Source organism: Homo sapiens, chromosome 2, assembly GCF_000001405.40.
Source record: "Homo sapiens chromosome 2, GRCh38.p14 Primary Assembly".
Taxonomy (NCBI): domain Eukaryota; kingdom Metazoa; phylum Chordata; class Mammalia; order Primates; family Hominidae; genus Homo; species Homo sapiens.
This window is the reverse complement of record NC_000002.12, coordinates 225,031,803-225,045,895: the sequence shown is the minus strand read 5'-3', so window position 1 is coordinate 225,045,895 and position 14,093 is coordinate 225,031,803. Positions and strand designations below refer to the sequence as shown.

The following is a 14,093-nucleotide window of genomic DNA, read 5'->3' as shown; positions in this document are numbered from 1 at the left end:
TAGCATAGTGTGAGATCCTGTCCATAGTTGATATTCCATAAGTGTCTGTTGAGTGGGGTTATTTCTTCCTCAGTGAATGGCTTGTCTCGTGACAACTCAAATGAATTGGCAAATTCAAACACTGATAAAACTTGATTGCAGCCTCTGCATTCTATGTATTAGTACAATCTTGATTTGAGAACATTTAGCAAAATTTGCAACCACTGGTTTCTAAAATGTCTGTTCCATGCATTTGGGGAGCTCTTTTAATGATCCATCTACAATTTTAGACAGCGAGACATGGGATAGATGGGCTGAACAACCCCATTTTATAATATATTAAAATTCAAGTGAAATAATATATGTGAAACTATTATCCAAACTGTAGCACATTATGTTATAGTTACATATTGTTACACAATAGTGGGTTAATACTATAAGGATTACATTGTTATTGTTATTCTTGTTCATGAAATTCCATAGTCATTGATTTGGGTTAAGACATTGTCTCCAGAATGCTCATTAAATCCCCAGCCTTGGCTCCAAGATAATACCCATCCATCCTTCTTCTCGCAAAGGTTCATATGAGAATCAAATATATGAAAAGACATGGAAGTTTGTTTAATTCCTGAGTTATCTGCAAGTGTAGGAATAATAACAGGGTTCATATGAGAATCAAATATATGAAAAGACATGGAAGCTTGTTTAATTCCTGAGTTATCTGCAAGTGTAGGGATAATAACAGTTATTGAAGTCCATGTGCTAGTCACTTTTGAAGAAATTTACACTAATTTAAGTAACTCTCTCAGCAGCCCAGCCACACAACTACTATCTTGATTGCGTAGGTAAGAAACTGAGGCTTACGGAGTTGGGATTTGAACAAAGGTAATTGGACTTCAGAGCATGTATTTTAACCACTATTCTACAATATTACAAGCCCTTGAAGATTCTCTTATTAACTAGCTGTTCCAAGAAACTTAACATACTTCATGATATGTGCACAGATTTGCGTTTACCAAGCATCTGAGCCGAGTTTCTCCAGGGATCTGAGAGATGGGTGGCCAGCAGAGTCAAGGTCCCAAATCAGCAGACCTGAAGTTACATTTCTGTAGCAAAAAATAAGTGTATTTATGCTACAAGGGCAGGGGCAAGGGTCGACACTCAGCTCTCTCTCCTTGGTGCCCGAAGGAAGCTTAACTAAAACCTACATGATCATAAGGGCGGAGGAGAGTCTCTGAAGTATCATTATTGACATGCCCTGGGTGTGAGAGGTATGCTATCAACACTTAAACCTGCCTTCCTACTCGGTGTGACCCACGGAATTAACATCATACAGGGTATGGATTGGGCAAACAGGCATTTGTTCGTTAAACCCTCTCACACCAGTGCTCTGGGTGACCTCCTGAAGCTGGAAAAAGTACAATTAGGTGTATTAATTGTACGATTAACAAATTGTAAGTGACTTTCTGTTACTCGATATTGTTGGAGATTGGGTTGTGTGTGCTACTCAGTGTTTTGGATCAGCGAGTTGCCTTGTGCAGGGCACATTCTGATGTATTATCGATTACTATAGCCTTCCCTTTCAGCACACCTTTCTCTTCTCCTCTCTGACTTTCTCTGTGTCAGGCACACCCAGCTCTCTGACTGCACTAGCCCATCTGAGCCCTTTGTAAAGTCATCCATAAGCTGATATTTATTGAGTGCCTACGTGTGCCAGGCAGTGTTTTGAAACCAGAGACAAAGATTAGGTACCTCTTCTTGGGAAGCTCAAGTTAATTCAAATGTGCTTAATCGGTTCTCTCAGGGGAATATGCATTCAGAGACATCAAGTCTGGGTACACCTGGGAAAGGGTACGGTTGGAGGGAGCTGTTCCTACAGAGATCTTCATGTACCAACACAGAGGCAACCACCTACTTTGCTTACCCTGAAAGGTGGTGTTGCTCCCACACTGAGTACCAATATGAAAGCATACAATACAGGTACAGTTATTTGTTATGCAGGCTGTCTTGGAACTAGATGATGTTTCAAATGGCACTTCCCAAATCTGCCAGAGCCTCTTACCCTCTTACGCCTGTTATGATTTCTAGAATGTGCTGAAATGATCCCCAAACAGCATCTCTGGCTAATTGAATCCTGGCTAACAAAGAGCTGACTAAAGTGCATTTATCAATTGCTTAAGAATTCTTTATACCCAAATGTGACCTTGTGTTATAACTATCTATCATTGGCTTTAGAAAGTGGCAGGGTCATGGATCCATAAAAAGCTGTTAAGAAAAAACCAGACCACTTGGAAAGGCTGTCCCAGATCTCTCCAGACCAGTATCCAGGGGCCAGAACTTCTCTGCCCCCCATCCAGTCCAACACTGAATTGCAGAACCACCCTGGGTATGACCCAGGAAGAGACTTCTTAGAAGGCTTTCATCAGATACCTATCTAGAGGCAAAGTGCAGGCTAGATGGGTATGGGCAAGAGAAGAGCAGAGACAGCATAACTGTGAAATCCACCCCCGACCTGACCACCCTACATAGTAACCCTGCCAGTTGGTTCTTGCCTACTCATCCTAATGCCACCCAAAGTCTCTTACCCCCAGAACGCTGATTTATTGGTTTTGAGTTCGTGTTAGTAGCTTAAACTGTCTCCTTGATTTCTCTGTATTTGTTTATTTGTTCGCTTGGTTACTTGCTGTCTCCCACCCCTACCCCGAAAAAACCTATCAGCTCTACACAGCCTTAAAGTGTAGTTGCTAAGTTCCTCTCCGTATCCTCAGTTTCCAGAACAGTGTGAGCTGGCATATAGTAGGCGCTTAATAAATACTCATTGAAGGAGTGAATGAATGGGGAAGCTTATTCCAAGGCCCTGAACATGGACTTCTGGCAAGGGAGCCTTCCAAACGCTGGCTTGGGCGATGCTGCTGGGATCCCAGCCACCAGATCTTTAATAAGCCTCTGACCCCTTCCCGAGGGTGGAAGGGCGAACCGAGCTTGGCCCCCACCCACTAGCCGGACCCAGAAAATAGAAGTCTAAACGGCAAATGCATCCAGGGCTCCAACTCTCCCAGCAACCTCCAAATGAGGCTGACGGCCTTGGACAGGCGACGGCCTTGGACAGGCCCCGCCCGGAGCCCCTCGGCGGCCGCCCCCCGCCCTCCCCCGCAGCCTGCAGTTCCCCCGGGCGGCGTGGACAGCCCCGGCCGGCCAGCTGAGCCCGTGTGGGCGGCGCGGGCAGGAGCCGCCCCACACGCGTCCCGCGACGCCCGCTCCAGATGCGCCGCTGCAGGGCCCGGCCGCCAGCCGAGTTGGCCGCGCGCGCCCGGGGGAGCGCAGAGTTTGGAAAGTCTTCGAGAAGCTTCAGAGGAGGGAAGGGGGTGGGAAGAGTGGGGGTGCAAGAGAGAAAAACCCGCCTCTTGCGAGTTGAGCGAGGAAGAGGGGGGGGAAGGCTCCGAGTTCCGCTTCCTGAACGGCGGGTGGATAGAGAAGGTTGGCGCGGGGAAGACCGGCGGGAGGCGCGCCCCGGGCCCGCGGCGCGATTGGCGTGACCGGCGATGGCCGGTGAGCGGACCCGCAGGTTCACCCGGAGCCTGTTGAGACCTGGGCAGGCGGCCGAGCTCCGGCACAGCGCCGCGTCCGCCGCCGCGGTGGCAGTCAGCAGCCGGCAGCAGCAGCGGGTGAGTGCGGCGCGTCCTCCGCGCCTTCCCGCGCGCCCCAGGCGCCCGGGGGGAACGGAGCCCAGCTTCCCCAAAAGCTCGGCGGGCCCAGGTCCCCGCAGCTCACGGGTCCTCTCCTCCGCACTCCCTCCCCCGCCGCCTCTGCGGGCTCCCCCGGCGCCACCTCAGCGAGGCAGCGCCACCGACGCGTAAGGACCGGGGGCGCGTTTGTGCACGCGGGACGCTCAGAGGAGCAGCTGCGTGGGTAGCAGAAGCGCAGCGTGGGAGAGGATGTGCAGGGGCTTTAATGGGGCGCGAGGGGGCCGGAATGCACCGCCAGTCACACTGGTGCTAAGTGATACGAGTGCCAGAGACCCCGGGTGGGGTGGGGGGATCTACAGAACAGAACCCCTGAGTCCGGAGGTCTGCGCGTCCCTCTCACCCTCCAGTAAACAGACCAGTGCGCTGAGAGAGAGGGATGCAGTCCGTGGTCCTCGCCCTGGTTAGAGCTGGGGCCCCCCGACGTTAACTATCGCAGAAATAGATGTACTTGGAACAGCCCTCCCACCGCAGGGTAAAAACCCACAAACCACTTAATACTCCTCCAGAAAGGGCTGAGGAACACAGGCTGGAGGAGACGTGGGTCATTAGGTCTCCAGCGGTTTCTGATATTTTTCTAAGATGTTTCGCGGGGTTCTCCCACCAGCAATGCTTTACTGGTTACTTCCTTATTGAAACGGCTTCTAAGTGCTGGGTGATTTCCGCGGGAAGTCCCTGGGGCAGCAGCCAGCATCTGATGCTAGGATCCTATCCATACCAACCCAGATGTTCCTGCGTTGCAGTAGGTCCACACTGCCGGGGAGAGGTGGCAAGAGACAAATCAACTCTAGTGGAAACGGGAAGCGAGTGGGAACAACAGCCTCACAGCAAGACCGGGGCTCAGCAGCCGCGCTCTTGGCCTGCGTTTGGTGGACCGGAATCCGGGTTGTGTGTTTCATTTTCTTTTTTGCCAGAAAATATCATTAGGAACTAAACGGCTCTTTTTAAGAGTGTGAAAGTGTTACTCTTGCCAGTCACCAATGAGGAGGGCGCCAAAAGCTTCCCAGAGCCAGTTCCCACAGCCAGGACTATTCTCTAAAGCCAGAGGTCGGAAAGTTGAACAGAACGGAAGCAAATTGCCTGGCAGAGGGAAGAGGCATCGGGTGCCCAGGGGGTGTAGAGCGGGCGGGGGTGATTGGAGTGTGAAACGAATTGGTGGCCAGGGTGCCTTCTCTTGCACTTACACTAGCTGCAGTCCGCAGTTACCCAGAGGTGGTTCAACTGTTAGCTCACTCTGTGCCAGGGACAGCATGTGGTACTGCTATCAGCGTGCACATTTTCAGGACACCAAAGACAAACTGTTCAAAAGAACATTAGAAGAAAAGATTCAATTCGAGTAAAAGTAGAGATAAGAAAATCTCCACACAGTAGTAGAAAGTACTTTTTACTTTTGAATGATCATTCAGAATTGTGGTTTTGTCATTTTCTGCCATTCCCTTGACAAAAACTTTATTTTGCAATTGACTCATTGGACTGAATCTCACTGAGGATCTGATGGAAACACACAGCGTTCAATTGGAATAAACAGCTTAAACTGTTGTGTGTTTTTTTAAATGTAGATCCTCCTAGAATTTTTGTGGCACTAGAATTTCTATAAAGATTATGTATCCCAGATACCCTTCTACACCACACACACACACACACACACACACACACACACGCACTGCTTTCTCCAAAATTATGTCAGATTTGAAATCCTAGGGTATCTTGTCAAAATGAATAAGCTCGCTGTCTTTAAAAAGAGGTGGGGGAGGGGAGATTCAGTGGCAAAGGTGGTCCTGACTCCCCTTGCTTCGCTTCAGCACCTTGGCCAACACTCCTAAACTAGCTTTTGCCAAGACATTTCATGGGATCTTACACATCTAGGCAGGCAGTTTTGGCTGCTATTTTGGCAGCAAGAACGCATGTGCTTTGCATACTATCCCATCAGTTAACTCTTGAAGGGAAACAGGAAGGTGATGAGTTCTCTGAGCTGGCACCTGAACTCGGTGGGATTCTGTGGGTGTAGAGCATCCCTTCTGAACCTAAAACCGTGTCATTGGACTATGTGGTAGAGACTAATCTTAGCGTACATTGATGCAATCCCTTAAGACTCTTCATATCTGTTGCTTCAAGTTCTCAAAACATGGTTGTCAAGGGAGAAAAATGATAGGATGTTGGGGAAAATATTATGGATATCCGACTTCAGTACAGACTCATAGAACCGCGGGTGTGTATTGGAGCAAGCCATCCTCTATTGCAAGGTATTTGAAAGAGACTAGAAACTCCTGCTGAGAAAAAGTATCTTACTGCTAGATTTGTATATTCCCCTTTCTGAAATCCCTGTCTTGGGGACACAAATCCTCCAGGACATTGCCAAAAGATTGCCATAGGGTTTGAATTCTGCTCTCTCCAATAAGTTTAGGTAAGGTTGTCAGGTTAACAAGATAGTTTTCTTCCCTGAGAATGGGGTGTGTATACAGAGAGAGAGAGAGAGAGAGAGAGAGAAGACAGGAAGCCTTCAAAATGTGTTTGAATATGGAGAGGAGAGATCAAGGAGATGCTGAGTGAGGGTAATGACTGGGAAAGCCAAATTTTAAGGCAGTTGTTGAGGACAATACAGGTGTATGCCAAAGCAAATTTGATGTCAGTTTTTACCCAAAGCACTGTATGTAGTAGGCTTATGTACTTGCAGACTCCTAGACACGAACCACCTTATTCTTCACCCCTCCCAAGAACAGTAATGAACAAAAACATACATTTCAAAAGGAGAAATATTTGCTCCTTCATTATCCTAAAATTCCCCATAGAAAATAAATGAAAGACAACTCATTCGAAGATCAATTCAAAGGATCATGTCAAGTTCTCATAATTTCCTGAAATCTCATTCCTGATTGTTTCATAAAGCAAGCTTCTCTAGGGTAGAATTTCAGCCCGAAAATGATTAGAAACATTTGTCTCATATCAGAACTGGAGTGTTTTATTACATTGGTTGAATATACATACCATGTTGGCTTCAAAGTTGTAATGCCACTAATTAGAAATTCCTTTTTGATAAGAAGCTCATCTTTTAAAATGAATGAAGTGTATCTGTACCCTAGCATGAATTAGTTCATTTAGATAGCTTTCTATAATTCATTAAGATATACATTTAGGATTTGTGCACTTTTCTGCATATATATTGTATTTGAGAGCATTTCAAAAGAAAAGACTTTTTAAAAAAAGTATAGGTAAACTTTTTGCAAACACCCCATCAGATCTGTCACTTTGAGAGAAATGGAGTTTTATTTATGGAATGTTTTAGGTGGGTTAGTGCAATGGAAGGCTTCAGATAACCAGAAGGATGAGATCTACATAGAGTCAGATGATGGAAAGGAAGCATTTACTAGAGATCAAATAATCATTTGGTCAGTTTTAGCCCAAAGCCGTTCATCTATTTCCTAGACTGGAGCTTACCACTTTAGTTACATGCACTTTTAATGCCTTTATATTTACTCTATTATTAGACAAAAACTCCTTTGCAACTCCTTTTTAATTGTATCTAATTTTGTTATTAACTCATTTTAAAGAGAAAGCATCCTGCCGGAAGTGATTATACTTAACCAGGAGGTTTTCTCCCTTCCTACCCACCCAGAAAGTGTAAGGGGTAAAGAGGGGAAAGTATTTATTTCAGTAAATTCCATTTCCCTTCTTTGATGTTTCCTAACTCTTCAGACCTCCAATAATACCACTTTTGATATTTTAGAGAGCTTTGAGTAAGAAGCGGAACCTTTGACCAACCAAAGAGCTTTGATTGAGAAGTAATGAATATGTAAACATGTTTACGTGAGCGTGAGGAATTCCTAGAAGGAAGAATTTTCTCCCCTCTGAACTTGGTGGCATTCAAGAGTTGAGAGTAGGAGGGATTTTTTTTTTTTTAATTGAGTGGGGGATACTGGAATTTCCCAAAAGTCATATGCTAGATGCAGAAAGTGATAGCAAATGAAAGTGAAGCACTTGTTTTGCTGTCGCTATCCAGATTTAAAAGCAATATGCAATATAAGGGCCTGGTTGTTTAGCATTCACAGCACAGTCTTTTTATTTTGTTTGTGTTTTTTGCTTTGTTTTGTTGTTTGTTGTTCTGGACAGAGTCCTTTATGACAAGGGTGTTTATGGTTTAGCAGAAATCACACGGTTATGTTTTCATATGAGGAAAGTCCCTTGACCTCTTTGCCTGGAGAAGAAGTCAACACAAACTTAGTTTACAAGATCAAGTTTGAATGTTACTTGTGTGTCTGCCAATGTTTTTTATTTCTCAAGGGCATTGGAGAAATAACTTTGAAAATGAATAGTAACCACAAGTAGGTTCTAGAAAACTTCTAGAAGGATCAAAGGCTGAAAGAATGAGTCAACATGTATAGGTTTTGGCTTTTTCTCCACAACCAGATTCTCTAAGGCCTAGCATAGAAAAAGAAAGCAATAATGAATGCATTAAGGTAAATAATTTGTTAAGAATGTACGATGTGCCTGGCACAGTGTCAAGCATTCTATTTAATTCTCAGAGCAATCATTTGAGGAAGTTATTATTGTTGCAAAATACAGAGGAGGCCAGTGAGACTCATAGGGTTAAACATGTTTCCCTAAGTTAAGTAACTGATATGGGACATCCTCTGCATTTTGAATAGAAAACTGGAGGGGTTACCTTCCAGTTTTTTAGCTGCTTCTAAAAGCATCTTCAAATCGGTGGATATGAGTAGCTGACGTTGATTGGTGTTGCCTTTTGATCTATCCAAGATGCAGTTCTACCTAAGGATTAGGAAAACTGTTCTTCCCACTAGTGCTTCAGAGTACCTGTGAGAATTCACTCCAGTGTTCCCCTGAGGATAGTTGCAATAGCAGAGGCTGCTCCAGGTACCCTTAATTATAATAGATCTTCCCAAGGCAACTGGAATTTCAATAGTTAAGTCTTTAAAATATGAACTCACTCAGCCATCCCCATCCCACCTGTATTGCAAAGTCTTAAGAAAATTGTGAAAGAGCATGAGGTTAATCCTCCTGCAGTCTACTTCAAAACTGTCTGCTTCTCCATTCTCAATTGCTTACCCCACTCTCACATGTGCCTGAAATTCCTCAATGCATTGTGTGTCTGGGAGTATGTATTACCATTTAACTGAGTTGTGTTGGGATTCTTTTTTCACATTCTATCTTATTTGAAGGAGGGATCCTAAGTATCTTACAAAGATGCATGTGAGATGACAACAACAAAATATAGTAAGGGCAGTGAAAAGTAATATTAGCCAGAAAAAAAAAAACAGTATTAGGAAAGTTAGATGTAATCAGATGTAAGTCATTGGGACCAGTAAATAAAATACATCACTATTAAGTCCTATAGCTTTGTTAAAAATGCTTCTTGGTGACCAAGTCAAAGAGGAAAACACCATCAGCCATGAGATTTAAGAAGTCCATTAGATAAATGAAAACTTGCTCTAGACATATTCAGCATTAACTTATACTGAAACTTAAGAGACAAGATATTTTTTTCCTGGGGTTTTTACAAATAGTAGCATGGTGTGATAGAGTCTCGTCATTGAGAGTGTTGTCCAAGGACCAGCAACATTAGATCACATGGGAGCTAGCTAGAAATACAGAATCCAAGGGCTCACACCAGATAATGCATTTTAATAAGATCCCCTAGTGATTTGCACTAGGACACTAAAATTTGAGAAACATGAAAATAACCTACATCTTTAGCCACACTTTTGCAGTATCTTTTTAGATAAAGTCAATTGATGAGGGTCCAATACAATGTGGTTTATTCTGCAACTATTTGAAAGTTTTACTTAAAGCAGACATGAGGTTTAGACCACTTAGAAACGAAAATGGGATTTAGTTCATTGTTAAATGGCTTTAGGGAAATCTCTTACTTATTTGTGTTATATTCTCTCCTCCATCTACCATCTAGCCCCTTAATTGTAGTGTGAACTTAATTTTCCAGGTTAAGAAAAAATTCCATAACAGACTTAAATAATTGCTATCTAAATCAGCACAAGTTCTCACTCTAGGTTGTACGGTGAGACTTCATACCCTAAACATGTGTTTCAGAGTGAGGCGAATGTTGCTCCTCCTACAGAGAATTTTTAAATACAATTACTTCAACTAATGAAAGATGTGTTATGAACTAAACGTTTGTGTCCTTCCAAGATTAATATGTCGATGCCTTAACCCCCTATATGATGCGGTTAGGAGGTGAGGCCTTTGGGAGGTAATTAGGGGTAGATTCGGTCATGAGAGTGGACCTCTTATGATAAGATTAGTGGCTTTAAAAGAAGAAGAAGAGAGAGAGAGATCACCCTCTCTCTGTCATGTGAGGACACAACAAGAAGGCGGCCAACTACGAGCCAGAAAGAGAGCTTTCACCAGGAACCCAACCATGTTAGCACCATGATCTCAGACTTCAGCCTCCAGAACTGAGAAAAATAAATGTCTGTTGTTAAAGACACCCAGACTATGTTATGTTATTATGGCAGCCCGCACTGACTAATACAACACACAATTAACACTGATTCTTTGGTTATTATGGCAGCCCGCACTGACTAATACAACACACAATTAACACTGATTCAGTGTTATATATATATATATATATATATATATATATATATATATATATATAATATATATCATATCATATAAGATCTATATTGATATGATATTGAGTGAAACCCTTAGGGATTTAAAAAAAATGGTGATATCAGAAAATCCAACTGCTAGAATTAGAAAATCATGAAGATGTTTTTCTCTCTCACAGTCATTGACTCCTAGAAAAAGTGATACCTCTTGAATTCATGCTTGAATGCGGTAAGAATGGGCTTCCATAGAGTTAAAGATCTTGACTTCCCCATATGCTATAATGTGGTTCATGACCTCTTTGATGGGCTGTCCTTCACCATCATCCTGAGATACTCTTTCCTTGACTATCCATGTTGGAGTTCCATTATGCACTTGTAACAGTTTGGCCACATGGGATTCTAATGAATGGGAGTTGGTATTGGAAATGTCAGAGCCTGTGAGTCTGGAGAGCAGAATTTCAAACCTGGCTCTGTGACCCTTGATGAAGTCCCTTCTCTCTTTGAAGACTCAGTTTCCTGAACTGTGAAATTAGGGGATTAGGTGATTGGGCTCTTGAATTTCCCACTTCTTTGTCCCAGAGTTCTCACAACTTCTCCTTCTCATCCCTCAGATTCTCAGATGTCACCTTCTCAGGAAGGTCATCCTGGATTACCAAGTGGAGGGTGAGAGTTCATACCCTAAAGATGTGTTTCAGGGTGAGGTGAATGTTACTCCTCCTACCAGAGAATCTCCCACCAGGCTCCCCACCCTCAACACTCTCAATCTCATTACTAGGCTTAGTTGTCTTCATAGCTCTTACTACTATCTAAAGTGATCTTTTTATTGATTTCATTTCTTGTTTGTCTTCCAACCCTCTTGCCTTGTAATATAAGTGCTATTGAAAAGCGAGAACTTGTCTGTTTCACTACTTTTATAGTATATTTGCTATTGGGAAATAAGAGGGGTGGAGTCCCTCTTCTTAGTGCACATTAGTTGCTTAAGGAAAGTCAGAAGGGTGGGCCGAATGTACATTACTGAAAGGTTATAGTGGAATTATAACTTTTAAATGTCCAGGTTGTTAGCATCTGATAATGACAGCCCTTGTGTCATCCTCTTCATAGTCTACTTGTAAATCTTGGCAAGCATTGGAAATGCAATCCTGCAGAAAGGTATTGGGCATGTCCTGTGTGCCAAGTACTATACTTGTGCAATCTCTTCTAATCCTCATAGCAACCATATGGCAAAATGTTGGTATTCTCATTTTATAGATGAGGAAAGAGATGCTTAGAGATCAGGAACTTTCTTCAGATCAAATGACTCCTCAATAGTGAATCCAGAGTCACAATCACATAGTCTGACTCCACAGCCTGTTCCTCCTGACTACTCTATAACTGCCTCCCAGCTCCACCAGGCAGGAAGGACCTCATTACACATGCAGCTTGCATCCATCAGCGAAAGCAGTGAGAGAAAAGAAACCCTCAGAGTACTAGTTATAGGAAGAGTTTCTAAAAAAGAGTTTCTTGACAAAAGAAGAGCTGTGGCTACTTTTGCTCTGCTTCAGTCTTTCATTTATGACATCTCAGCAACCTGGGATATTGGGAGTGACACCAACTTTGGACACTGTTGCTCAGACATTTCCCAAAGACAGGACTGGCACAGAGTGAGTTAAGCTTTGCAAACAAAGGCTCCTTCAACTGTGAAAGGGGCATTATTTGATTCCTCTCCTTCTATAGAAATACATTTCTGGCAAGATAAGCATGAGGTTGGGGGGCGTGGTTGGGTTGCAACATTACATCTGTTACATTGTCTCTTGTAGTCTTGATTTTGGTGTTCTTGTTTACAAATAAGAAGGTTGATGGTTCTTTATTTTTCTCCCCGCCATTGAAGTGAGACTTGTTTGCTTCTTATCTTTCACAGCAGTGTTAGCAGGCTGGAAATAAATGCTTGTGTTTGCTGGACTCAAAATGTTGACCTACATTTAATGAGGTAGAAATAATAAAATTTAATGAATGTGACTGAATTAGTGGCAATACAGAAAAACACTTGCCTTTGAAAACGTTAATATTTTGCAGTTGGATTGAAGCGAAAATGTCTGCCTCAGAGATTAGAAGAATTAACAGTCGCAGCTGGGCACAGTGGCTCACACCTGTAATCCCAGCACTTTGGGAGACCGAGATGGGAGGATCACCTGAGGTCAGGAGTTCGAGACCAGCCTGACCAATATGGCGAAACCCCATCTCTACTAAAATTACAAAAATTAGCCGGGCGTGGTGGCATGCACCTGTAGTCCCAGCTGCTCGGGAGGCTGAGGCAGGAGAATTGCTTGAACCTGGGAGGCGGAGGTCGCAGTGAGCTGAGATCATGCCACTGCACTCCAGCCTGGATGACAGAGTGAGACTCTGTCAAAAAAAAAAATAATAGTACCAAATCATTAAAAGTTTCTTTATTTTGGGCAACTTAAATGTGAAAATACTGTATTTCTAATTCAATTTCAGCATACCTCCTCTGAGACATGTAGAATTTGGGAAGCTAGGCAGCTCTTTAATGTAAATTAAATACCAAAATGGCAGAGTTTAACAACAGGATCTGAAAATCTGAAAAGGGGTCTATTTGAAAAGATGACACCATTTAGGATTAACACAATGAGATTTTTCTTCATATAATTATCTTAGTAATTACCAATTTAAATGACTAATTGAGGCTGTCAAAATGACCAGTGACTCTTTGGCCTTTCAAATTAAACATTCTATAAAAAGAACCCAGACATGAACATTTGACTTGGCAAACAAGCAAACAAAAAACTTAACAAAATTTACTGTTCAATGAAATATGATAATTAAATTATTCTCAAATACTCATTGTTTGATTAGCTCTTAAATGTCCCTTTGTCACAGCTCTTTAGAATGACAAATGGAAATTGATTGTAGCTGAGTAATCTTCACAAAAATGAAAGTGATGTTAGAACTCAACTTTTTTGAAGATACTGCAAATGTGGAGAACTAATATTTAAAGACATTTATTTTTTGTTTTTTATGTTGTTTAAAAATTGGACACATTCAAAGGAAGTTTTATTCTGAAGTGAAAAAAATGTATTTTAAGTTTTCTTTGAAGCATATCTTTATGGTGGGCTATAAATTTGTCCTACATGAGAAACTACTAGTAATAAAGTTTGTTGGCATACCAACATGCAGAGATAAGATGCCTTCAGAACCTTTCTGAGTGCTAACAGGGAAAGTTCATTCATTAACTTCCATTTTTGAAGTCAGAAGCCATTATATGGCTTCTGTCCAATCAATTTGAAAAATGTATCTTTTTATCATTAGGAAGCAGTGGTTTCCAGGCAGTATAACCTTGGCCAAGTCTTTAAGCTTCTTTGAGTTTCAGTGTTCTTGTCTTTAAAACAAGAGAGTTGGACACCAAGACCTTCAAGAATGCTTTAGTCCTAAAAATCTGGGGAGATCTTATCCTTTTAAAGGGGTTTTCATAGAGAATTAAAATAAAACTTATTTTCATCTTAATAAGATGATTATTGATTAAGATATCTGATTTTAGCACCTGGAAGACTTGATCCCAATGATCTATGACCACATTTGTATTTCACCTGTGAAGATGGTAGCATAAAACGTGGTTATTTAAGAATGCAATGAAGGGAATGGCTGTTCACACATCCTGAGGACAGGGCTAGTGGAATGGAGACTGGCAAAAGACAGCCAGTGGTGGCAAAGGCTGGGCAAGTCAGGTTCTTCTGACCTTATCGAGCCTCAGAGGCAAGCATACAATCCCATTTCCTTCTTTCTTATCCTG

At 42.5% G+C, this 14,093-nt stretch overlaps 1 protein-coding gene across 6 annotated transcripts in view, besides 3 other annotated features; it reads left to right on the top strand.

Annotated features, from left to right (window-relative positions):
• Window positions 3,032-3,401: a silencer, noted in NCBI's record as "silent region_12386". NCBI's record gives its function as "represses an Ori minimal core promoter by ATAC-STARR-seq in GM12878 lymphoblastoid cells {active_cell/tissue: GM12878}" and the evidence as "EXISTENCE:reporter gene assay evidence [ECO:0000049][PMID:35858748]".
• Window positions 3,428-14,093, top strand: part of DOCK10 (dedicator of cytokinesis 10) — a 277,379-nt gene continuing 266,713 nt past the window's right edge. For all 6 annotated transcript variants that reach the window (XM_047444930.1, XM_047444929.1, XM_047444922.1 and 3 more), the window contains exon 1: window positions 3,428-3,644. In XM_047444930.1, the coding sequence (XP_047300886.1) occupies window positions 3,522-3,644 (123 nt within the window). In that variant the 5' untranslated portion in view covers window positions 3,428-3,521. The remainder of the gene's footprint in view (window positions 3,645-14,093) is intronic.
• Window positions 3,592-3,831: a silencer, noted in NCBI's record as "silent region_12385". NCBI's record gives its function as "represses an Ori minimal core promoter by ATAC-STARR-seq in GM12878 lymphoblastoid cells {active_cell/tissue: GM12878}" and the evidence as "EXISTENCE:reporter gene assay evidence [ECO:0000049][PMID:35858748]".
• Window positions 4,382-4,721: an enhancer, noted in NCBI's record as "active region_17191". NCBI's record gives its function as "activates an Ori minimal core promoter by ATAC-STARR-seq in GM12878 lymphoblastoid cells {active_cell/tissue: GM12878}" and the evidence as "EXISTENCE:reporter gene assay evidence [ECO:0000049][PMID:35858748]".